This window comes from Homo sapiens, chromosome 2 (assembly GCF_000001405.40).
Source record: "Homo sapiens chromosome 2, GRCh38.p14 Primary Assembly".
Classification (NCBI taxonomy): Eukaryota; Metazoa; Chordata; class Mammalia; order Primates; family Hominidae; genus Homo; species Homo sapiens.
The window spans coordinates 112,120,036-112,146,431 of NC_000002.12; the positions used below are offsets into that span (position 1 = coordinate 112,120,036).

Below are 26,396 nucleotides of genomic sequence, written 5' to 3' on the forward strand. Positions count from 1 at the left end.
TATTTTGAAATAAAGATAATTTAAAAAAAAAAAGGCCGGGCGTAGTGGCTCACGCCTGTAATCCCAGCACTTTGGGAGGCCAAGGTGGGTGGATCACAAGGTCAGGAGATCGAGACCATCCTGGCCAACATGGTGAAACCCTGTCTCTACTAAAAAAAAAATACAAAAAATTAGCCGGGCGTGGTGGCGGGCGCCTGTAGTCCCAGCTACTCGGGAGGCTGAGGCAGGAGAATGGCGTGAACCCGGGAGGCAGAGCTTGCAGTGAGCTGAGATTGGGCCACTGCACTCCAGCCTGGGCGACAGAGCGAGACTCCGTCTCAAAAAAAAAAAAAAAAAAAAAGTAGAGAAAGGATTGAGTGGAAAAGCACTGGGGTGGCATACATGGTTAGTGTTGAGGCTCAGCCAGGCTGTGGTCACAACTTGATTTTAGCCTTTCAGAAACTTAAGACAAAAAGTTTATTTCTTGCTCATGTGACAATTCTTCAGTAGGTATAGAGGTGGGAAGGGCCACCCTCCTCCACATGTCCCTCAGACACCCGGGGTTTATTTCCATCTTGCGGACCCACCATACCCTAGGGCCTAATTTTTACCCCTAATTTTCTAAGAAACATATTCAACATAAATATGTAAAAATAATAGTGCCTTGGCCAGGCGCAGTGGCTCACACCTGTAATCCCAGCACTTTGGGAGGCCGAGATGGGTGGGTCACGAGGTCAGGAGATCGATACCATTCTGGCTAACACAGTGAAACCGCATCTCTACTAAAGATAGAAAAAAATTAGCTGGGCATGGTGGCAGGCACCTGTAGTCCCAGCTACTCGGGAGGCTAAGGCAGGAGAATGGCGTGAATCTGGGAGGCGGAGCTTGCAGTGAGCCGAGATTGTGCCACTGCACTCCAGCCTGGGCGACAGAGCGAGACTCTCAATAATAATAATAATAATAATAATAATAATAATAATAATAGTGCCTTAGACTATGTATCAGAAAATCTAGAAAAGTGTGTCTTGGTTCACAGCTTAATCTTAATTAATTTAAAAAATCCATCTTGCTGTAAGTAGATGGGACATGGAGAATTTTCTTCATGGACATTCTCCCACCTTTGACATGTGAGGAGTGAGAGGGACAAGATGGATAGTCCCAGAGGGAAAGGAAGGGCTGTTGTCATAAGACTGATGACCATTTTGGCAGACTTGGGAGCACTTGCAGAGTGCCAGGCTTTGGTAACCACTGTATTCTCACAGTAGCCAATGAAGTATTAGTTCCCTTGGTTCATAGATTAGAAAACTGAGAGAGAGGTTAAATAATTTGATAGTTTACCATCCTGGCAGGTGGCAAGGCTGGTATAATACTGGTGGGAATCATCCTAGAAGGGTTGTCCTCGAAGTCCTGAGGAGAGAGGAGTTTCGGTTAACAAAGTGCTGTTTGCTTGTTAGAGAAGGTTAAGTAAGACAATGTATCTAAAGTGCCTGGTGCATAGCCTTCAGGAGGCAGCTAAGGTTAATGTGAAAGGTACAGCAATGATTGAGGGGTGACTGAGACTCAATTGAAACAAATGGCATATGAAATTCAAACACATTCCAGGATTGATTCACTTGTATTAAGATGAAGTTACCCAGAGCAAGTTTTATGCCCCTTAAGTGATAGGGAATGTACAGCTACATTAACAGAGGTGACCTGATATTTACATCTGGTCAGAGGCTGACCTGATTTATATCTGATTTCAGATGTAAATAATTTTGACAGTATTTCCTTAAAATCATTTTGAAAAAACAAGAAGCTGCAATGGAAGTTTATGCACAGGAAAAAATGTGAAAGCTATCCAGCAGGTGGTGCCAAAGTAATGTCTCTTGAAGAGTTCTAATCTTTTTTTCTTTTCTCTAATTCTTCCCTTTACAGATTTTATAAATTTACTTACCAAATGCCACTAAACAAATTTGGGGATGAAGAAAAAAACTTAAAAATAATTCACACAGCACTGCCCTGGAAAAACAGTTATTTTGGTATATTTTAAAACTTTAAAGCTGGAAAGAGCCTCTAAGATCATCTTACAAATGAGGAAATGGAGGACCAGGAAAGTGTCACTGGCTACAGTTCCCTCAGACCAGGGTTGAAGACTGCCTCCTAGTTTGTTTTTCTCACCTCTGGTCCTTATTGTCAGGGGGAAAGAGATGCCACAGAAGGGTTGGACTGGGCATCAAAACTTGAAATACATTTTATATACTTTGGTGACCACTTGCTACGTCATTTCATATGACTTCATTGTCTTTTCAGCTTCCAAATTCTTGTTTCTACATGGTCATAATTCCAGTTCTCTGTTTCTTCATTTGATAAGTGGAGATTTTCTTGGGGTTCAGTGGAGTCTGCTGGAAAGGCTTGTCTTTATTTGACCTGAGTCACAGCTTTCCCAGTGCTAAATGCCTCTTTCCAGGGGATACTTATTAAAAATATTCACAGGCATGTTTTTTAATGTCACAGCTGCCTAAAGCAAAAAATAACATTCAAAGCAAACAACAGACTGACCAAAAACCTTAAAAGGAAAGTCTAAAGAATGAGATGACCATAAGGCCTTTGAAAAACCTTCAACATACTTACAGGAATCTAAAAGGTCACATGCATGCATAGGGCTCTGCATGCTCAGCAAAGACCACAAACAAGAAGTGAAGGCTAAGGCAGAGTTAGTTGTAAACTGCCTGAATGAGTGCTGAAGGTGTGCCCCACCATACACACAAGCACCTCGGCAAAGACTGGGAGATTTACTGGTTCCGAGAGGTTAAGAAAGTCTCTGTCCAATAATTGTCTAACCATTACATAACTGAGTAGAGACTTCAGTGACCACATATCACAAAATATACAGACTTTACGGAATTAGTTTAGAGAACTCACTAAACAACTACTACAACAAGTAGTAACAACAGCAAACCATTGAAGGGGAAGGAACTGGTTTTCAGAGTTACCACATTATATTATTTAAAATGTCTAGTATTTACCAAAAAATTATGACATAAGCAAAGAAATGACAGTGTATCTCTCACAAGAAAAAAAAGAGCATCAAAACAAAATGTTCCTGAGAAAGACCAGATGTTTGACTTACTAGACAAAAACTGTAAGCTGTTTTGTAAGTATTCAATGAGCTAAAAAAGTATAAATGCAAAAGTATGAGAATGATGTTTGACCAAATAATGTCAATAGAGATAGCAATGATAAAAATGAACCAAATGAAAATTCTTATATTGAAAAGTACAATAACTGAGACAAAACATTTATTAGAGGGTGCTCAAGAGCAGATCTGAGCAGGTAGAAGAAAATCAGTGAATCTGAATATAGGTCAATTGAGATTATTCAGTGTGAGGAACAAAAAGAAGATAGAATGAAGAAAAATTAACAGAATCTCAGAGACCTGTGGAACAACCTCAAGCATACAGACACACACGGTGAGAGTACGAGAAGAAGAAGAGAGAGGAAGAAAAATACTTGAATAAATAGTGGTTGAAAACTTTTCAAACTTGACAAAAAACAGTCTACCTAAGCAGAAAGATTAGCAAACTCCAAATAAGATAAACTCAAAGAGATCTGTACTGAAACATCATAATCAAATGATGGAAAACCAGAACCAAAGATGGAGTTTTGAAAGAGAGAAGTGACTCATTGCCTAGTAAAAATCCTCTGTAACATTAACAACTAATTTTTCCCCCTCAGAAACTATGGTGGTAAGAAGGCAATGGGATGATATATTTAAAGTACTGAAAGAAAAACCGTCAGTCAAGAATTCTATATCCAAGCAAACTATCCATTCAACATGAATAGAAATACAGACAGTTGAGATAAAAACTGAATTTGTTGTTAGTAGTTTTGCCATGCAAGAAATACTAAAGTAGGCCAGGTGCGGTGGCTCACGTCTGTAATCCCAGTACTTTGGGAGGCTGAGGCGGGTAGATCACCTGAGGTCAGGAGTTCGAGACCAGCCTGGGCAACATGGTGAAACCCCGTCGCCACTACAAATACAAAAAGTAGCCAGGCGTGGTGGTGAGCAACTGTGATCCCAGCTACTCAGGAGGTTGAGGCAGAAGAATCGCTTGAACTGAGGAGGCAGAAGTTGCAATGAGCTGAGACAGTGCTATTGCACTCCAGCTGGCAACAAGAGCAAAACTCCATCTCAAAAACAAACAAACAAACAAAAAAAACAAAACTAAAGTAAGTACTTTGGGCTGAAATTAAAGAACACTAAACAGTAATTTGAATACATTTGAAGAAATAAAACAGTACCAGTAAAGATAACTAGCCAAATATAAAAGACAGTATAAATGTATTTTTGTTTGTAACTCTTTTTTTCTCCTAGTATATTTAAAAGAAACATGTATTATTGATAAATCTAAGTTGATGGGCATATAATGTGTAAAAATACAACTCGTGACAATAGCAGCATAAAGGAGAGGAGGAGAGAAGCCATACAGGAGCAAGTGTTTTGCATACTATTAAAATTGGTTTTACTCAGAACTAAAATCTTATAAATTAAGGTATTATTGGCCAGGTGCGGTGGCTCACGCCTGTAATCCCAGCACTTTGGGAGGCCGAGGTGGGTGGATCACGAGGTCAGGAGTTTGAGGCCAGCCTGACCAACATGGTGAAACCCCGTCTCTACTAAAAATACAAAAATTAGCCGGGCGTGGTGGCACGCGCCTGTAACCCCAGCTACTCAGGAAGCTGAGGCAGGAGAATTGCTTGAATCCAGGAGGCAGAGGTTGCAGTGAGCCGCCATTGTGCCATGGCACTCCAGCCTGGGCAACAGAGTGAGACTCTGTCTCAAAAAAATAAATAAATAAATAAATAAAATAAGGCATTATTGGTAGACCCCAAGGCAACACTAAGAAAATAACTTTTAAAAAATGTACTAAAAGAAATGGGAAAGGAATTAAAATGGTAAACTACTAAATTTTTTGAACAAAACAGGAGACAGCAGTGGAGGAACAAAGAAGATAAGACATACAGAAAACAAAGAGCAAAAAAGGAGAGGGAATATGTGAATATAATGAATAACATTTTGTCAGTAAATCAACTTACATGAAATGGACAAATTCCTGGAAGATAAAAACTACCAAAACTGACTCAAGAATAAATAGGCAATCTGAATAGACTCATAGTAAGTGATAAGATTCAATTAGTAATTTGTAAAAACTACCTACACAGAAAAGTCCAGGCCCAGATGACTTCACCATTGAACTCTACTAAACATTTAAAGAAGAATTAGCCTGGGTGCAGTGGCTTATGCCTGCAATCCTAGCACTTTGGGAGGCCAAGGCAAGTGCATCACTTGAGCTCAGGAGTTCGAGACCAGCCTGGGCAACATGGCGAAATCCCTTCTCTACAAAAAAAAAAATTAAAAAATTAGCCAGGCATGGTGGTGTACACCTGTAGTCCCAGCTACTGAGGAGGCTGAGACAGGAAGATTGCTTGAGCCCAGGAGGTCAAGGCTGCAGTGAGCCATGATCACACTACTGCACTCCTGCCTGGGCAACAGAGTGAGACCCTGTCTCAAAAAGAAGGAGAAGGGAGGAGAAGGAGAAGGGAGAAAGAGGGAGAAGAAGAAGAGGAGAAGGAGGAGGAAGAGGAAGGAGGGAGGAGGAGGGAGGGTGGAGGAGGGAGACGGAAAAGACGGAAGAGAAGGAGGAGAAGGAAAGGAAGGAAGGAAGGAAGGAAGAGAAAGAGAAGAAAAAGAAGAATGATTAGTGCCAATTCTTCATGAATTCTTCCCAAAAATAGAAGAAGGCACTTCCCATCACATTTTATGAGGTCAGAATTACCCTGATGCTCAAACTGACCAAAGACAACATGAGAAAACTACAGACCAATATCTTTCATGAATATGGAAGCAAATGTTCTCAACAAAATACTAGCAAACCAAATCCAGCAACATATGAAAAGAATTATACACCAGGACCAAGCAGGATTTATCCTGGGAATGCAAAGATGGTTTAACACCTGAAAATTAATGTAATACATCATATGAATAGGACAGAAACTCAAAAATGCTATGAGTATCTCAATAGTTGTAGAAAAAGCATTTGCCAAAATGAAATACCCTTTCATAATAAAAAAAAAAACCAACAAACTAGAGGCAGAGTGAAATCTCAACATGACAAAGGGTACCTACAGAAAAAAACCCATAGTTAACGTCATACTAAATGGCAAAAGACTAGAAGCTTTCCCCCAGTTATGGTCTGAATGTTTGTGTCCCCCACAAGTTCGTATGTTGAAACCTAATCCCCAGTGGAATAGTATTAAGAGGTGCGACCTACCTATGTAACAAACCTGCACGTTCTGCACATGTATCCAAGAACTTAAAGTATAATTAAAAATAAAAAGAGGTGCAACCTATAGAAAGTGATTATGTCATGATGGCATCATCCTCATGAATTTGATTACTGCCCTTATCAAAGAGGCCCAAGAGAGCTTGTTTGCCCCTTCTGCCATGTGAGGATTCAATAAGAAGTTGCCATCTATGAGGCACAGACCAAACTCTTACCAGACATTGAATCTACTGGCACCTTGATCTTGGACTTCCTAGCCCCCAGAGCTGTGAGCAATAAATTTGTGTTGTTAATAAGTTACCCAGTCCAAGATATTTTGTTATAACAGGCCGAACAGACTAAGACACCCCCTAAGATCTGGAAAAGACAGGAATGTCCTCTCTCACCACTTCTGTTCAACATTGTATTGGAGCTTCTAGCCAGGGAAATCAGAAAAGAAAGAAAGAAAGAGAGAGAGAAAGGGAAATAAAAGTTATTGAAATGGAAAAATAAAAATATCTCTATTTGCAGATTTAATGATCTTGTATATAAAAATCTCTAAGGAATCCACTAAAAAACTATTAGAACAACAATGAGTTCTGTAAGGTTTCAGGATACAAGATTGACATATGAAAATCAATCATATTTCTTAAGCTTGCAATGAATAATCCAAAAATGAAAGTACGAAACCCATTTACAATAGCATCAAAAAGAACAAAATACAGTGGCTCATGCCTGTAATCCTAACACTTTGGGAGGCTGAGGCAGAAGGATCGCTTGAGGCCAGGAGTTCAGAATCAGCCTGGACAATATAGGGAGACCCTACTAAAGATTAAAAGAATTACTCGGCATTTTGGGAAGCCAAGGCGGGCAGATCACTTGAGGTAAGGAGTTTGAGACCAGCCTGGCCAACATGGCGAAAACCTGTCTCTACTAAAAATATAAAAAATAGCTGGGCATGGTGGTGGGCGCCTGTAATCCCAGCTACTCAGGAGGCTGAGGCAGGAGAATCACTTGAATGCTGGAAGCAGAGGCTGCAGTGAGCCAAGATCATGTCACTGCACTCCAGCTTGGGTGACAAAGACTGTGTCTCAAAAAAAAAAAAAAAAGATTAACCAGGCATGATGATGGACATTTTTGGTCCTACCTATTCAGGAGGCTAGGGCAGGAGGACCACTTCAGCCCAGGAGTTGGAGGTTGCAGTGAGCTGTGATCACACCAGTGCACTCCAGCCTGGGCAACAGAGTGAGACCCTATCTCTAAAATACATAAAATAAAATAAAATACTTAGGAATGAATCTGACAAAGGAAGTGCAAAACTTATACACTAAAAACCGTAAAATATTGTTGAAAAAATTAAATAAGCTATAAATGAATTGAACAAATTCCATGTTCACAGAAGACTTAACATTGTTAAGATAGCAGTCTTCCCCAAATTGACCTAGATTCTGATAATGCAATCCTTACCAGAATCCCTGCCAACTTCTTTGTAGAAATTGAGAAGCTGATTTTAAAATTCATATGCAATTTCAAGGGACCCAGAATAGCCAAAATAATGTTGAATAAGAACTAAGAGGAGGACTCACACATCTCAAAACTTACTTTAAAGCAACTATAATCAAGACAGTTAAGTAACTGCAAAAGGATAGTATATAGATCAATGGAATAGAATTCAGAGTCTAGAAATAAACCCATACATCTATGGTCAGATGACTTTCAGCAAGAGTGCCAAGACCATTCAATGGAGAAAGAACAGTCTCTTTAACAAATAGTGCTGGGACAACTGCATAGCCACATGCAAAAGAATGAAGTTGGACTCCTACCTGAGAATATATACAAAAATTAACTCAAAATGGACCAAAGACATAAATTTAAGAGCTAGATCCATAAATCTCTAAGAAGAAAACATACGGCTAAATCTTCATGACCTTATATTTGACAAACTATTTTTAGAGTTCACGCCAAAAGCGTAAGCAACAAAAGAAAGAAACAGATAGATTGGACTTCATCAAAATTAAGAACTTTTGTGCTTCAGAGGACACTATCAAAAAATGAAAATCAACCCACAGAATGGGAGAAACTATTTGCAAGTCATATATCTGATCAGGGACTTGTATCTAGACTGTATAAAGAACTCCTTCAACTCAATAATAAAAGGACAAATAATCCAACCAAAACATGGCAAAGGTTCTGAATACACATTTTAGGAAGATATACGACAGGCCAATAAGCACATAAAAAGATGCTCTAATCATTACTAATCAAGAAAATGAAAATCACAACCTTAATAAGATACCACTTTACACCCACTAAGATCGCTGTCATAATAGAAACAACAAAAAAGGAAAATAACAGTGTTCATGAGAATATGGAGAAACTGGAACTCTTCTAAACTGCTGGTGGGAAGTAAAATGGTACAGCCCCTTTGGAAAACAACCTGGCAGTTAATCAAATGATTAAAGAGTTACCATATGACCCAGCAATACCACTCCTAGGTATATACCTAACAGAAATGAAAACATGTCTACATAAAAATTTGTACACAAATGCTCATTGTAGGATTCGCCATAATAGCCACAAATTGTAAACAAACCAAATTTTCATCAGTTGATGAATGGATAACCCAAATATGATATATCCATACAACTGAATATTATTCAGCCATAAAAGTCAATGAAGTACTGTTAAATGTGACAACATAGATGATTCTTGAAGCATGTTAAGTGAAAGAAAAGCACTCACAAAAGCCCCATATTTTATTATTCTGTTTTTACAAAATGCCCAGAATAGGCAAATTCATAAAGACAGAAAGTAGATTAGTGGTTTCCTAGTGCCAAAGGGATAAAAGAATGAGGAATGACTGCTAATGGGCATAGGATACCTTTTTTGAATGATGAAAATGTTCTTAAATTAGATACTTGTGATGATTGCACAACTTTGTGAACATACTAAAAAGCCACTCTGTCATACTCTATAACGTGGTGAATTTTGTGGTAAATGAATTATACCTCAATTTTAAAAAGTTATATTCAGGGTAACACAACAGAATAAGGAACATCTACAACATATCATTAACAATCCCTGGATACAATCCCAAATAACTAGGCATACTAGTAAACCAGAAAAAGTGACCTTTACTCAGAAGACAAGCAATAGCTGTTGAGCCTCAGAGCATACCAGATGGTAAATGACCAAAAAAAGGATTTTAAAACTGCAGTTATAACTATGCCCAAAGAGCTAAAGGGGAAGACAAAGTTTATAATAAATAACCAAATAGAAAATCTCAATAGAAAACAATATTTAAAAAAAAACAAAAACAATAACAAAAAATGGAAATATGAGACCAACTTATATAATAAAAAATTCACTGGATGTGTTTAGTGACGGATTGAGGTGACAGAAGAGTCAATGAACTTGAAGTTCATAGAATAGAAAATATTCAACCTTAAATACACGAAGAAAAAGAAAAAAGAGCCGGGTGCGGTGGCTCACGCCTGTAATCCCAGCACTTTGGGAGGCCGAGGCAGGTGGATCACAAGGTAAGGAGATGGAGACCATCCCGGCTAACACGGTGAAACCCCGTCTCTACTAAAATTACAAAAAAATTAGCCGGGCGTGGTGGTGGGCGCCTGTAGTCCCAGCTACTCCGGAGGCTGAGGCAGGAGAATGGCGTGAACTTGGGAGGCGGAGCTTGCAGTGAGCCGAGATGAGCGAGACTCCATCTCAAAAAAAAAAAAAAAAAGAAAGAAAAAAGAAAGAACAGTGCCTTGTGGACTTGTGGGACAATCATTAAGAGTTCTAACGCTAAACTAATTCTAAAGGGACAGGAAAGAGAGAATAAAGGAGAAAAATTACTGGGTTAAATAATGGCCCAAACTCCCTAAATTTGGTAAAAGACACAAATTTATAGATTCAAGAAGCTAAGTGCACTCCAACCAGAATATGCAGAAAAGTACATGTAGGCATGTTTTACCTGCAGAAATCCAAAGACACAAATATAATATTGAAACCACAATGAAGGGGAAGAAATGGCACACCACATAGAGAGGAACAATGACAGAAATGAATCTGACCTCTCATCAGAAAGAATGGATGCTAGAGAACAGGTCAGTGATATTGTTAAAGTGCCGAATGTAAAAAAAGTCAACCCAGAATTCTATATCTACCAAAAATAGTCTTCAAGGACAAAGTCAAAATAAAGACATTTTCAGATAAATCATATTTTTAAAAATTTGTTGCTAGTGACCCTACAATACAAAGTATGCTAATGAATGTTTTTCCTGCTGAAGGAAAATGATATCAGAAGGGAACTTGGGTCTTCAAAACAAAATGAAGAGCACCAGAAATTGTAAATCTATCTATAAATATAAGAATATTCTTGCTAAAAATTTGTTAAAAACACATATGACTATTTAAAGCAAAAATTATAATATTACACCACGGGGTTTTTAACATATATGGACATAATATGCATATGACCACCATAGCATAAATGACAGGACTTGGTAATTGGCCCATTTCATTGAAAGCTTTTTACATTTTATTTAATTTAGTTATTTACTTTTTTTTTTTTTTTTTTTTTTGAGACAGGGTCTTGTTCTGTTCTGTTGCCCAGACTGGAGTGTAGTGGCTCTATCATGGCTCACTGCACTCTCAACCGTTCAGGTTCAAGTGATCCTCCTGCCTCAGCCTTCTAAGTAGCTGGGACTATAGGCACACGCCACCATGCCTGGCTAATGTTTTTCATTTTATTTTCGTAGAGACAGGGTCTCACTATCTTGCCCAGGCTGGTCTAGAACTCCTGGCCTCAAGCGATCCACCTGCCTCGGCCTCCCAAAGTGCTGGGATTACAGACATGAGTCACCACATCTGGCAATCTTACATTTTATATGCTGTATACACTGTTAACACTAAAAAACACTGTGATAAATTAAGAATGTATATTGTGATCCAGTGGCAGACATTAAACAATTATAACAATAATGCAGAGGTATACGTTAAAAGTCAATAAAAGAATTGAAGTGAAATTTTAAACATTCAATCAATTAATCTAAAAGAAGGCAGAAAAGGAAAACAGAGTAATAAAAAAACAGAGGGAACTGGCTGAGTACAGTGGCTCATGCCTGTAATCCCAGCACTTTGGGAGGCCGAGGTGGGCGGATCACCTGAGGTCAGGAGTTTGAGACCAGCCTGGCCAACATGGTGAAACCCCGTCTCTACTAAAGATACAAAAATTAGCCAGGTGTGGTGGCAGGTGCCTGAAATCCCAGCTACTCAGGAGGCTGAGGCAGGAGAATCACTTGAACCCAGGAGGCGGAGGTTGCAGTGAGCCAAAATTGCAAAAATTGCAATTTTGCCAAAATTGCAAAATTTTGCAGTGAGCCAAAATTGCACTGCAACCTGGAAGACAGAGCAAGATTCTGTCTCAATAAATAAACAAACAAACAGAGGAAACAAATAGAAAACAAATGATAAAATGGTAGGCCTAAATTCAGACATATCAATAATTACATTAAATTTAAATAAACCACTCAGCTTAAAAGGCAAAGATTTTTCACATTGGATAAAAAGGTGAGACTCAATTATATGCTATCTAAAAAAGGCACACTCAGTGACAGAGTGAGACTCTGTCTCAAAAAGAAAGAAAAAGAAAAGGAAGGAAGGAAGGAAGGACTGAAAACATATAGTGGAGAGAGAGAGAGAGAGAGAGAGAGAGAGAGAGAAAGAGAAGGAAAGAAAGAAAGAAAAAGAAAGAAAGAGAAAGAAAGAAAAAGAAAACATACAATGTCTTCTCTGACCACAGTGGAATTAAATTATAAATAAATAATAAGATATCTGAAAGAAACCAAATATGTGGAAATTAAACCACACAGTTCTAAGTAACCCATGGATCAAAGAAAAAATTATGAGAAAAATTAGAAAGCATTCTGAACTACATGAAAATAAAAACACCATATATCAAAATTTATGGTATGCAGCTAAAGTAGTACTTAGAGGGAATGCTGTAACTTTAAGCACTTATATTAGGAAAGAAGAAAGGTATAAAGTCAATTACCTATATTTCAGTTTTGATAATCTAGGAAAAAAAGAGCTGAGTGAGTAAACCCAAAGAAAGAGAAAGCAATAAAATAATAATAAAGCTGTATTTTCTTATTTTCTGTATTTTCAATATTCTTGCATCTGGGGCCTTACTGACCTGAAAGGACTGCTCCTCTGGAGTTTGCAAATTCTGAAAGATAGTAAATGACTTGCTCTAGAGCATGCATTTTATATGCAAACCAAATAACCCCAAGTTCATACTCCTGCTTGTTTCCTTTTATCTGCTACGATATCCTTTTGCCCTAAACACCGCAAAGCTGGGTGCTGGACAACTAGGGACTACCCCTAGAGCCTAGAGCCCATCCAAACTCTTCAAACTATCCAATCCTAAACCTGCTTAGCTTGCTTACCTTGTTTCAATTGTTCCTTCCTGCAAAAACCACAATAAAGTCACTTGTCCACAGTTCCTCTCTCTCTCTCTCTCTTTCTCTCTTTTCCTCTCTCTCTGCCTGCTCATCTCACCTGGGCATTTTCCTGTGTGATCCTGCATGACATACCATCCCTCTTGTTCTTAGGAGACTGTGAGTATAATAAAAACTTCTTTCTTCATGGAAATTATTTTCATGTCTATGTATCTTACCACATCTGATTAAAACAAATCCTAGGTGCTATTGAAACAAATAAAGATATGAGCAGAAACCAATGAAATTTTAAACAAACACTTGAGAAAATTAACAAAGCAAAAAGTTGTCTCTTTGAGAAGAAAAACAAAATTTATAAATGTTTAGCTATAATAATTAAGAAGAAAGGGAAAGAGCACAAATCATCAATATTAGGAACAAAAGAAGGGCTACCACTACAGATCCTACAGCCATTAAAAAGATAAGTGAATAATACCATTTTATGCCACTACATTTGGCAAATTAGATAAAATTAAAGAATTCCTTGAAAACTATAATGTATAACTGACATAAGGTGAAATAAAATATTAAATTATACACACATTTATTTAAAGATAATTTTAGACTTAAAAGTTGCAAAATTAGCACTTACACCTTTTATCCAGGTTTTCTTTTTGCTTAGCATTTACTCAATTTCAGTTTGATCTTGGGCAACCTACTGAAGCATTCTAAGCCTCAGTTTCACAATCTGTAAAATGAGATTAATAATGGGACCCATTTCACTGGGTTGTCATGAGAACAAATGAGAGCATTTGTGACTGGTTTACAGTAGGTGCTCAAGACATGTTTGTTTCCTTCTTATGTTGTCCCTGTATGAAGGACCATCAGTATAAGCAATGTCCCTTTAACTGAGCACTTACTTTATGCTCAGCATTGTGTTAGGCACTTTATTATTTTGAAATCTCATAATCTCTTTGATAAATACTTGTATTCTCATATATAAATCAAGAAGCTGAGGCCTGTAAAGATTAAGAGGTTACAAGTTCACACTGGCAGCAAGAAGGGGGTAAGATTTGGCCGAGGCACGTCTGACTTCAAAGGCTGTGTGTGCCTGACTGCATCCACCATCTCTGCTGCTTCCAAAGGCATGTGGAATGGCATTCGTGGATGTTCAATGTCTTGCTCCTTTTGGCAGATGTTAACTGGTGTTTGGTCTTTAATCACAGCACAGTGAAATCTGCTTTTCTACAGGCTTTCATCTTGTAAAATTGGAAATGCTTTTCTAGGGGGAACGGTTTCTACTGGCAGTCCTGATATCATACATAAGTAGACAGTCTCTTCACCTTTCAGCACAGGACTGCACAGTTCTGTTGGCTAAAGCTCTAGATATAATGTGAGAATGTAGTGCCTGGTACAGGGCCATGCCCGGAGTTGGCACTTGATAGATATTTTTGTAGTGAATGAATTGGATGAAGTCACTGCACCTCTGCTAGACCGTTCTCCCTACACGGTTTCTACCCTATTATCCTGTCAGGCTAACATGCTGGACTTTGTTCCTGGGACCTCTGTAGGTGCTTCGTAGGGGTTGATGACATTTAGAACCACAGAGAAATGTGGGGTAAAGGATGAAAAGGGAGAGAAGCAGCTGCAAATGAGCTGACAGTAAGACTCAGCCATAGCTGAATCAGTAAGTCCATGAACCCAAAATGGTATGCAACATGGTATGGGGCACCACTGGGGACCCAGAGGAGCCCCCAGGACAGCTCTGGAAGGATAATTTCAGACTGGATCTTGCTTCTGCTAGCATCTGTTTATTTATTTAATTTATTTTTGTCTTTCTGAGACAGAGTCTCACTCTGTCGCCCAGGCTAGAGTGCAGTAGCAATCTTGGCTCACTGCAAGCTCTGCCTCCCGGGTTCATGCCATTCTCCTGCCTCAGCCTCCCGAGTAGCTGGGACTACAGGTGCCCACCACCATGCCCAGCTAATTTGTTGTATTTTTAGTACAGATGGGGTTTCACCATAATAGCTAGGATGGTCTCGATCTCCTGACCTCGCAATCCGCCCACCTCAGCCTCCCAAATGCTGGGATTATAGGTGTGAGCCACCACACCCAGCTTTTTTTTTTCTTTTTTTTTTAGATGGAGTCTCACTCTGTTGCCCAGGCCAGAGTGCAGTGGCACAATCTTAGGTCATTGCAACCTCCGCCTCCTATGTTCAAGTGAGTCTCCTGCCTCAGCCTCCCAGGTAGCTGGGATTACAGGTGCCTGCTACCACACTCGGCTAATTTTTGTACTTTTAGTAGAGACAGGGTTTCATCATCTTGGCCAGGCTGGTCTCAAACTCCTGACCTCAAGTGATCCGCCTGTTTCAGCTCCCAAAGTGCTGAGATTACAGGCATGAACCACCGCACCTGGCCTCTGTTGGGGTCTTAAAGACAAATTTCTGCAACAAATCTTCCCATTTTGTGTTGCATGCCTATGTTACACAGAGAACCTGAATGTATCAGAGCACTAATCCAAGGAGATGGCAACTGATCTTACCAAAAGATGTTTAAAATACTTTCTGTAGACATGTTGAACCCCACCAAACCAATCCCCCGACACTCAGGAATATTCTCTTGAAAACTAAATAGAGGGGAAATAGAGGAATAAACTAGCTGATAAGGGCCAGGCATGGTGGCTCATGGCTGTAATCCCAGCACTTTGGGAGGCTGAGACGGGTGGATCACGAGGTCAGGAGTTCAAGACCAGCCTGGCCAAGATGGTGAAACCCCGTCTCTACTAAAAATACAAAAATCAGCTGGGCATGGTGGCAGGTGCCTGTAATCCCAGCTACTTGAGAGGCTGAGGCAGGAGAATAGATTGCCTCTGTGAGGCAGCAGAGGTTACAGTGAGCTGAGATCATGCCACTGCACTCCAGCCTGGGCAATAGAGTGAGACTGTCTCAAAAAAAAAAAAAAAAAAGGCTGATAGGCCCATTGTATTCAGTTAAAGGTGAGGGTTGGGGGCTTAAAGGTAGAGCACCCAGCTGATTTTCATGGGCTGTCTGCTTGTAGACAGCCTTGGTAGGTTCTGGACTTGATAGGCTCTGCCTTGATTACTGCAGATCCAGGGCAGCTGAGGACAAAGACAGAGAAAGGACAGTGCTGCTGGGGCAGTCAGATCTTAGAAGGTTCATTCAGACCAGATGCCAGAACACTTAGAGGGAAGGCAGCCATAGGGAAAGGGTTACAAATATAAATAATTACATAGGAAAAAAAATCCTGTTGAAACTTAGAAATATTTGAAAAGTAAAAACAAAAGCAAAAACCCAAGAAAACAAAAAACAACAACAACAAAAAAACAGAAAACCCCCCATTACTGTAAATAAAATTCCTGAAATGCTATGATCATGTATTTAATATAAGCAACATAGTAGCCCTAAAATGAGAGGTGGGATAAAGTCAAAGGTAGTCTGTCCTAGAAACAGCACCGCTCTGGGAGGGGGATCTTGAGACCAGAGTTTGCATTCCTTGGGCAAGTCAGTCAACCATGCCCCGATTCAGCTTCTTCATCTGTGAAATCAAGAATCTCTTCCAGCTTTATGACTCCACAGAAAGGGCAGGAGAAGAGAAAAGAAGGCTTGCTTACATCTGCCCGATGTCTGGTTACCAGCGCATAGCCAGAACAAGGCTGAGAGCCAGAACAGCTGGCCTTCCAGAGAAGGTCGCCATGTAAACACAAGGTGGGATAGGACACAAAATATTAATAAATGCAGCCACACTGACCAGGAGGAAGCTTTTCAAGGATAGGGCAGAGGACAGAGAGACAGAGAGGGAGCAGGGCACTGGCTTTTGGTACAGACAGCAAACACATGAGAGATCGAGGCAGAAAACCACCATCTCCACAGGCTGCCCTGGATCGGGCCATGCTGTCCCGTCCTCTCCACCTGGATAGGGAGAAGCAGGGGTATGACCATGTCTCTCTTCAGGATGTTCAACCAGGAATGCAAAATAAAATTACATGGATCCCTTGCAGGCTGCAGTGGCTCACACCTATAATCCCAGCACTTTGGGAGGCTGAGGCGGGTGGGTCATTTGAGGTCAGGAGTTCAAGACAAGCCTGGCCAACATGGTGAAAACCTGTCTCTACTAAAAATACAAAAATTAGCTAGGCGTGGTGGTGCATGCCTGTAGCCCCAGCTGCTTGGGAGGCTGAGGCAGGAGAATTACTTGAACCAGGGAGGCAAGGCTGCAGTGAGCTGAGATCAGGCCACTGCACTCCAGCCTAGGCAACAGAGCAAGACGCCGTCTCAAAGAAAAAAAAGATTTACATGGGTCCCGTTCCACCTCCTTTGCATGGGAAGGTTGGGGGAGCAGCACTGTAGGATTTCCTGGGCAACCAATGCCCAGGAGGCCAGCCTAAACCATGTCCCCTGCTTTTTGGGGCACTGGCTAGGTTCTGAATGTTGGTGTCTCCCCTAAATTTATATGTTGGAAACCTCATTCCCAAGATGATGGCATTAGGAGGTGGGACCTTTGGGAGGTGACTAGGTCATGAGTGCAGAGCCCTCAAAATTGGGATTAGTGCCCTCAGAAAAGAGGCCCCAGAGAGCTGCCTTTCCCCTGTGAGGACACGGGAACCAGAACTCTGGCCCTCGCCAAACACCTAATCTATTGACACCTTGATCTTGGACCTCCCAGTCTCCAGAACTGTGAGAAACACGTTCTATTGTTTATAAGCCACTCAGTTTATGGTATTTTGCTATAGCAGTTTGAAGGGACTAAGCCAGGACTCCAGCTTTCCTTTCTGGCCTCTGCTGGGAAACAGCTCCTGCTCTGTGGTCACAGTCTTGTGGGCTCCCCGTTCCCTGAGCTCTGAGTGGGCTCAACAAAGTGAAATGTGGAAGAGGAAAAAGAGATCTGGGGCTTGACCAGACTTGTGTGTCCCAGGACATCTGCAGTGACTGCCTTCAGAAAACCTTCCAGGAAGAACGTCAGTCATGCCTTCCGGGAGCTCAGGTCTGAGGCATCTGGTTGTACCACAGCCCTGATGGCAGGGGACTTCAGACTGCTCATGCCGGCCTGGCACTTCCTGATTCGACTTCAGCAAGGCAGGCAATGTTCTAGAACCTGACCTCCGATTTAAACTGAGTTTCTCCTTCCCTTGAGCAAGGAGGACAGTGAATCAGAAGGACGTAGATCCCCTCACTGTATCACTGTGTGTGTATCTACTCACTGTGCGTGCGTGTTCTCACGGCCCCATTGCATTATTTAAAGGGACACTAGTTTATTCGGATGGAGAGCTCAGTCCACCCCACGTCAAGCTTATGAAGCCCATTTCCTGGCCCCCTTCTAGGAATGTCGGGAGGAGGGTGTCGCGTGGGCTTTGAAGTAGGACAGACCTGGGTTTGGGTTTCTGTTCTGCCACTTGTCCTTGGTGACTGAGCCTCAGTCTACTTGGTTGGGAAATAGGACGGTCGGGAGTGAACCCGCCCAGGGTGGGCTTCCAGTCACCCGCACATATGCGGGGCACTGGCCGCCCATCCCTGCCAGGCCCCGAGGATGCCCGCGCTCGTCCTCGGCGTCGCGGGTTGGGCGCGCTCCCGGGCGCATTCCCGGCCGGGCAGCCCCTCCTCCCTCGTCCTTAGCCCAGGGGCCGGCGCCTCCCCGCCTCGCGCGGACTGTCTCGTGCGGGCAGCTGCGGGCGCACCTGGACCCTCGCAAGGCCCGGGCGGCGCCGATCCCCGCGGGACGCGCTGCGCTCGGGGCCTCCCGCCTCCCCCCCTGCCCCAGCCGCCCCCCGGCCGCGCGGCGCCCCGCACCCTGCAGGGACGGCTGCCGCATCGCTGGGACAAACTCGGCAGCGGAGGCAAAGTTATTTCCCCTCCCAGGCAGCGGGATTCCGACTGGCAAGATGGTGCCCAGCTCTCCGCGCGCGCTCTTCCTTCTGCTCCTGATCCTCGCCTGCCCCGAGCCGCGGGCTTCCCAGGTCAGTGTCCCTCCCGCCTCTCTCCAGGCCAGTGTCCCTCCCGCCTCTCTCCAGGCCAGTGTCCCTCCCGCCTCTCTCCAGGCCAGCGTCCCTCCCGCCTCTCTCCCCTGTCCCTCCCGCCTCTCTCCCCTGTCCCTCCCGCCTCTCTCCAGGTCAGTGTCCCTCCCGCCTCTGTCCCCTGTCCCGCGCGCCTCTCTCCACGCCAGTGTCCCTCCCGCCTCTCTCCAGGCCAGCGTCCCTCCCGCCTCTCTCCAGGCCAGCGTCCCTCCCGCCTCTCTCCAGGTCAGCGTCCCTCCCGCCTCTCTCCAGGCCAGCGTCCCTCCCGCCTCTCTCCAGGTCAGCGTCCCTCCCGCCTCTCTCCAGGCCAGTGTCCCTCCCGCCTCTCTCCAGGCCAGCCAGTGTCCCTCCCGCCTCTCTCCACGCCAGTGTCCCTCCCGCCTCTCTCCAGGCCAGTGTCCCTCCCGCCTCTCTCCAGGCCAGTGTCCTTCACGCCTCTCTCCAGGTCAGTGTCCCTCCCGCCTCTCTCCAGGCCAGCGTCCCTCCCGCCTCTCTCCAGGTCAGCGTCCCTCCCGCCTCTCTCCAGGCCAGCGTCCCTCCCGCCTCTCTCCACGCCAGTGTCCCTCCCGCCTCTCTCCAGGTCAGTGTCCCTCCCGCCTCTCTCCAGGCCAGTGTCCCTCCCGCCTCTCTCCAGGCCAGTGTCCCTCACGCCTCTCTCCAGGTCAGTGTCCCTCCCGCCTCTCTCCAGGCTAGTGTCCCTCCCGCCTCTCTCCAGGCCAGCGTCCCTCCCGCCTCTCTCCAGGTCAGCGTCCCTCCCGCCTCTCTCCAGGCCAGCGTCCCTCCCGCCTCTCTCCACGCCAGTGTCCCTCCCGCCTCTCTCCAGGCTAGTGTCCCTCCCGCCTCTCTCCAGGCCAGCGTCCCTCCCGCCTCTCTCCAGGTCAGCGTCCCTCCCGCCTCTCTCCAGGCCAGCGTCCCTCCCGCCTCTCTCCACGCCAGTGTCCCTCCCGCCTCTCTCCAGGTCAGTGTCCCTCCCGCCTCTCTCCACGCCAGTGTCCCTCCCGCCTCTCTCCAGGCCAGTGTCCCTCCCGCCTCTCTCCAGGCCAGTGTCCCTCCCGCCTCTCTCCACGCCAGTGTCCCTCCCGCCTCTCTCCAGGCCAGTGTCCCTCCCGCCTCTCTCCCCTGTCCCGCGCGCCTCTCTCCATGCCAGTGTCCCTCCCGCCTCTCTCCACGCCAGTGTCCCTCCCGCCTCTCTCCAGGCCAGCGTCCCTCCCGCCTCTCTCCAGGTCAGCGTCCCTCCCGCCTCTCTCCAGGCCAGCGTCCCTCCCGCCTCTCTCCACGCCAGCGTCCCTCCCGCCTCTCTCCACGCCAGCGTCCCTCCCGCCTCTCTCCACGCCAGTGTCCCTCCCGCCTCTCTCCACGCCAGTGTCCCTCCCGCCTCTCTCCAGGCCAGCGTCCCTCCCGCCTCTCTCCAGGCCAGTGTCCCTCCCGCCTCTCTCCCCTGTCCCGCGCGCCTCTCTCCACGCCAGTGTCCCTCCCGCCTCTCTCCAGGTCAGTGTCCCTCCCGCCTCTCTCCAGGTCAGTGTCCCTCCTGCCTCTCTCCAGGCCAGCATCCCTCCTTCCTCTCTCCCCTGTCCCGCGCGCAGGGGAGGCAGCACCAAGGCTGGGGGACCCGGGCTTGCCACTTTCCACTCGGATGCCTGGGTTGAGAGCTCGGAGCGATGCCTGGGCTGGGGTTCAGTTTTCAGAGAGAGGTGCAGGGTCCCCCACCTGTCACCTCAGATGCATCGCTGGCCGGGCCCCTGGGAGGACCCGGGCTGGGCTGCGAAAGCGTCGGTCCATTGTGGGCGAGGACTCCACGTGAGCACCGCCGGGAGGAAGAAGATTTCTCAGGGAGCTATGAGACATTGGTCTTTCCTGGGTCTCCATGAGAGCTCCAGGTCACCTAATTAGCTTAGAGAACGTCCCCGCCCTCCAAACTCCGACATTTAAATTTCCAACCGAAGTATCAGAACACTCACGGGACTTTCTCAGCAGTTTGTGGCATTTCCCAGGCAGAGGTGGCCCGGGAGGTTTCCGAAGCGGTCCCTTCCCGAGCCGGCGAGGCCCTGGATGTGCGACTACATTTTCTTAAACACATATACAGGCGGCTTGCTGTTTAATTTTTCTGTTCTTGCCGTTGGCATTTGTTCGAATCTCACCGGATTTATTTGTTTAATACTTGACCAGATTCGCTTTTATGTTAACCATTAGCAACTGATTTTTAAAATTAAGGCGAGAACTTGAATTGCCGAGTCCGGGACCCACATCCAGCAGAGTAGCCCTGGCAAGCCAGGGTGAGGGGCCCGGCCATGGACTGCCGACCCCGCTACCTGCACAATACCAACAGCGGTGGGCAGCGGAGAGCCTGCACACGGAGTGCCTGGTGCGCCTCAGGCTCCCTGCAGGGCATCTTCCAGTCACTTCATTCCCGGAGCTACCCTGTGAAGTGGGGACTGTTACCCCCATTTTGCAGATGATGAAAGTGAGGCCCAGGGAGGATGAGATGTATTCAAGGTCACACAACCAGAAATGAGCGGAATAAACCCAGTCTCTCTTGTTGGGCTCCAAGATTTCTTCCTTGCCTGCAGACACTTGCCCATACTCCCTGGCCAGAGACTGACTTCCTGGGCCAGGCAGGCATGCCCATGGCCACCTAGAGGCCCCTACGGTGCAGGAAGGGATTCCAGGCAGGCAGAATTTGGCTCAGACGAGACGTGGTGATGTTAGTGCAGAAGGTAGTGAGGGGGCACCACAGGGAGATACTCAGTGACCAGGCAGCAGAGGCCCAGTTTGGGGCCACGCTAAACCCACCCAACAGAGCAATGGGGTCTCCTATCAACTTTGCAGGTTACAGAACAAAGTAAAACCCCACCTCAGACCTTGAGCCCAATGCCAGAAGCATAGGTGGGTACATCCCTAAGGCGGCTCCCCAGCCTAGGCTCCAAGGAGGCAGCGTGGACAGGATGTGTGATGAGATGCGTGAGAACCAGGCCCTGCCATTGTGTGACTTTTGCTGCTCGGGGAATGAGGTAAACACCTGTCTCCTGAGGTTACCTAGAAACCAGGTGAGACCGAAGCACTTGTCATATGTTTGCAGCTGCTGCAGAGGCAAAGTGAGCTCACCCAGACTCTGTACCCGGAACTTCTGGGTCCAATCCCTGTCCCGCCACATCCAGTCTTTCTCAAGTTTCTTATCCTCTAAACCTTACTGTCTTGAGCTGCAAAACACCTGTCTTAGGTGCTTTGTGAGGGGAAAGGGAACAAAAGAGATTGCCCATAGATGGTCATTTAAAAATTCTAGTGAGACTCTCTTTCACCCACAGTCCTATGTGGCCAGGGGTCTCCCCTTCTCCACCCTCAACCCTGTCCGGGCAAGCGTAAAGGGTGAATTGTAAAGGAGGCCCCAGGGCCTGGTGCATGCTGGAACAAGCATTACCTGACTCCTTCCACGTTTTGGGTCTCTGCTCAAATAAGTAATCCTCTGCAGAGGCCTTCCAGAACTCTCTCTACTCTAAACAAGTCCTCTCTCTGCCCCTGTATTTCCTGTTTGGGTCCCCTGAAGGGCTCTGGCGTAGTACCGATCATCATTTGTAATGATATATTTTGGTAGGTTTCAAGTTTATTGTCTGTATTCCCACTATAGGGCTCCAGGGGCAGGGACCCACCTGGCCTTAAAGCAGTGTGAGCCCTGGGACTCCTGAACCCACCAGTAAGAGCCATTGGTTGGTGGAGACTCAGCAAGTTTGGAGAATGAGCTGTGCCCACAGGATCATATCTTGCCATGGAGGAGATGAGATGGGTCAGGTGGGAGGCACTGAGGACAGGCTTCCTCGACCAAGGCCCATTGACACAGCAACTCCAAGGAGCTCTAGATGGAGACTGCGGTGCTCCTCATGGGGGTGGGCCACAACCCTGTCTGGGGTTCCCGTTTGCTGGCAAATGTGCTTGCTTTGCGTTTTAGGAGACAGCGCAAGAGTAATATCATGAGCGTATGTGTGTGTTTGTGTGTGTGTGTGTCAATAGATGTATGTGTCTCTGTGTGTGGTTGTGTGTACACACCTTTTTTGCATTGGTACCTGTGGTTGTGTGTGCATCTGTCTGCGTGAGTGATTGTATGTGTGATGGTAAGTGTATGTGTGTGTGCATATCTGTGCTGTGTGTGTGATTGGGTATGCACATGTCTTTGTGTGTTGGTGATTGTGTCTCTGTGATTGTGTATGTGTTACAGGGGAGGGGAGGCTGTGTGCTGCAGGGTCCAGAGCAGTGGTCCTGCGGGGATGGAGTCTCATCTCTCTCCTGCTCTCCTCTGTGGCTATCCACTGTGTCCCTCTTGTCAGCGCATCTGTCCCAAGTCACTTTGCAGGTTTTTGTCACTGGCTGATGAAGAGCAGGTGGTCATGGGGAAGGAAGGGAGGCTGAGAAGTATGGGGTGTGCAGAGAGCAGGAGCCCTTTCTGGACACTGTGCCCACCCTGTGGCCTTCCCACTGGAAGAGAAACACCTCATTGGGGAGATCAGAACAAATATCTAACCATCATCTCGCACTTCACCTTCAGCCCACAGTGGCTCTGGGCGGGCAGGGGATGCGGGCTCCCGGCCACCTCCTCGCCTGTGTGGGGAGCTGCTATGGTGTTTAAGCAGGCTTCCCTCCCTGACCCTCTCCCTGTGATCAGATGTCACAGGTCTCCAAATTCCACCATGAGAGGTTCATTCTTTTAGTTGCCTCCTCCCATTTGATACATTGCTTTTTATAATTAAATAAAAATAAATGTTGTTCATGTATAATTTCATGATTTTAACCATGGAACTATATTCTATGTGTGGCAACCACCACCACAATCAGGGTACAGAACAGTTCCACCGCCCCCAAAACTACATCATGCTGCTCTTTGAAGTCACACCTACTACCCACCCCAGCCTTGGCAGCCCTTATCTATTCTTTATCGTTACAATTTTGTCTTCTCCATCATGTCATACAATTTTTTATTTTATTTTGTTTTAGAGACAGGGTTTTGCCATGTTGCCTAGGCTGGTCTCGAACTCCTGGGCTCAAGCAATCCTCCCATCTCAGCCTCGTAAAGTGCTGGGATTATAGCTGTGAGTCACTGCACCCGGCCTCCACAATGTCATATAAATGGAAAAGAGTACATGGCCTTTTGGGTTTAGTTTCTTTAATCTCATTTGCTCTGAGAATATGTGTTGGGCAGTGCTTGTGGCTGCAGCATTTACCCCGAGATAACTTTGTCACAAAATATCTTTTATTATTTTCACATTGCTTAGTATATCAACTTTGGAAATAACAGACATCATTCTATTTATAGCATTCTGTTCTTAGTAGTGGTATTTCCATTTACAAAATATAGTAATTCTTGATCGCTGAAAATGTCAAATCCTAGAAATATAGCTCTCCTACGCGTGATATTAACATCGCTCTGGAACAGTTGTTGGCCGAAGATTCAATTGATGCATCCGATTTTTCCCAAATAGACGATTTTAATGATTCAGACAATTCTGATGTTAGTTCTGCTTTGAAATAACTACAAGAACAGTTTTTATATTTTATTTTCACATTGAAAATCATTCAGATTTGCTTCAGCTTCAAAAAGCATGTTTCTGTAAAATTAAATGAGCACTGGCAGCAAGCTGCACTTTTTTGATTCTAAATAAGAAAATTAACTTCGTATAATGCATCTAAGAATCACCCAAGCTACAGGTTCCTTTTTGTTTTTGCTTTTGTTTTTGTTTTTGTTTTCTTTTCTTTTTTTTTTTTTTTTTTTGAGACGGAGTCTTGCTCTGTCACTCAGGCTGGAGTGCAGTGGCGTGATCTTGGCTCACTGCCACCTCCGCCTCCCGGGTTCAAGCGATTCTCCTGCCTCAGCCTTCCGTGAGTAGCTGGGATTACAGGCTCCCGCCACCACGCCCAGCTAATTTTTGTATTTTTAGTAGAGACGGGGTTTCACCTTGTTAGCCAGGATGGTCTCTATCTCTTGACCTTGTGATCCACCCGCCTCGGCCTCCCAAAGTGTTGGGATTACAGGCGTGAGCCACCGTGCCTGGCCTCTACTGTTTATCGGTTCACCCACTGAACAACAACCACCGTGGTGTCATTCCAGTTTTGGGCAATTGTGAATACAGCTGGTATAAGCATTCAAAATATGCTTTTCATGTGAATGTATTTTCATTTCTTATGGGCAAATACCTGGGAGTGGGATTGTTGGGTCATATGGTAAATGTGTGTTTAACTTCGTAAGAAACTGCCCAACTATATTCTGTATTAGTTTTACCGCTTTACATTTATGAAAGACCTCACTACACTGCATCCTTACCAGAACTTAGAGTTCTCGGGTTGATTTGTTTTTCTCCAAGTCATTCTAGTAAGCATGCAGTGGTATCTCATTGCGGTTTTAATTTCCATTTCCCTAATGACTAATGACATTGGACATCTCTTCATGTGATTATTTGCCAAATAGTCTATTGGGCAAAACGTCTGTTCGAGCCTTCTGCCCATTTAAAAAATTGATTGTTTGTTTCTTTTTCTTTCTTTTTATTTTTTTGAGATGGGGTCTTTCTATGTTGCCCAGGCCAGCCATGGAATTACTGGGCTCGAGTGACCCTCCTGCCTCAGCCTCTGGAGTATTTGGGATTACAGGCAAATCCTGATTGTTTTTAATAAATTTTGAGCGCTCTTTATATATTCTAAATACAAAGCCTTTTTTGGATATGTGAGTTATAAATATTTTCTCTCAGTTTGTAGCTTAACAATGACTTTTGCAGATCAAAATTTTAAATTTTAATGAACTTTAGTTTATCAATTTTTTATTTTAATGGATTGTGTTTTGGGTGTCAAGTCTAAGCACTCTTGGCCTAACCTCAGGTCATGAAAATTTTCTTCTAAAATTTTTATAGTTTTACATTTTTATTATGACCCATGTTGAGTTACTTTTTAAAAATGAGGTGTGAGATTCATCTTGAGGGCCAATTTTTCATGTGGATATCCAATTGTTCCAATACCATTTGTTGTTGAAAGACTGCTGATTCACACACTTGCCTTAGCAACTTTGTCAAAAATCGTTCATCATACATGTATGGAGAAATTTCTGCCAATAACACACTTATCTTGATTACCGTAGCTTTACAGTAAGTGTTAAAATTGAGTAAAGTGGGTCCTCCAACTTTATTATTCCTTTTCAAAATCCCTTTGGCTATTCTAGTTTCTTTGCCTTTTCATTAACATTTCAGAATCAGTTGTCTATGCCTATAAGAAATTCTACTGGGCCGGGCACTGTGGCTCACGCCTGTAATCCCAGCACTTTGGGAGGGCAAGGTGGGCAGACCACCTGAGGTCAGGAGTCCGAGACCAGCCTGGCAAACATGGTGAAACCCCGTCTGTACTAAAAATGCATAATTAACCAGGCGTGGTGGCACATGCCTGTAATCCCAGCTACTCAGGAGGCTGAGGCAGGAGAATTGCTTGAACCCGGGAGGCAGAGATTGCAGTGAGCCACAAGCTGAGATCACACCATGGCACTCCAGCCTGGGCAACAAGAGCAAAACTCTGTCTCAAAAACAACAACAGCAACCAGAAACTACTGGAATTTGTATTGGGATTGCATTAAATCTATAGATCAATTAGAGGAGAATTGGCATCTTAAATGTACTGAGTCTT

General features: G+C 44.6%; 1 protein-coding gene across 9 annotated transcripts in view, besides 1 other annotated feature; it reads left to right on the top strand.

Annotated features, from left to right (window-relative positions):
- The window catches only part of FBLN7 (fibulin 7), a 106,324-nt gene continuing 98,277 nt past the window's right edge, over positions 18,350–26,396 (top strand). For all 9 annotated transcript variants that reach the window (XR_007069507.1, XR_007069508.1, XM_006712260.3 and 6 more), the window contains exon 1: positions 18,350–18,695. Coding sequence is in view for 7 of the 9 variants with exons in the window: in XM_006712260.3 (XP_006712323.1) it covers positions 18,621–18,695 (75 nt within the window). In the remaining 2 variants the exon portion in view is untranslated. The remainder of the gene's footprint in view (positions 18,696–26,396) is intronic.
- Positions 20,167–20,880: an enhancer, noted in NCBI's record as "H3K4me1 hESC enhancer chr2:112897779-112898492 (GRCh37/hg19 assembly coordinates)". NCBI's record gives its function as "activates a minimal SCP1, AML or CMV promoter by ChIP-STARR-seq in naive H9 embryonic stem cells {active_cell/tissue: H9 hESC(naive)}" and the evidence as "EXISTENCE:reporter gene assay evidence [ECO:0000049][PMID:30033119]".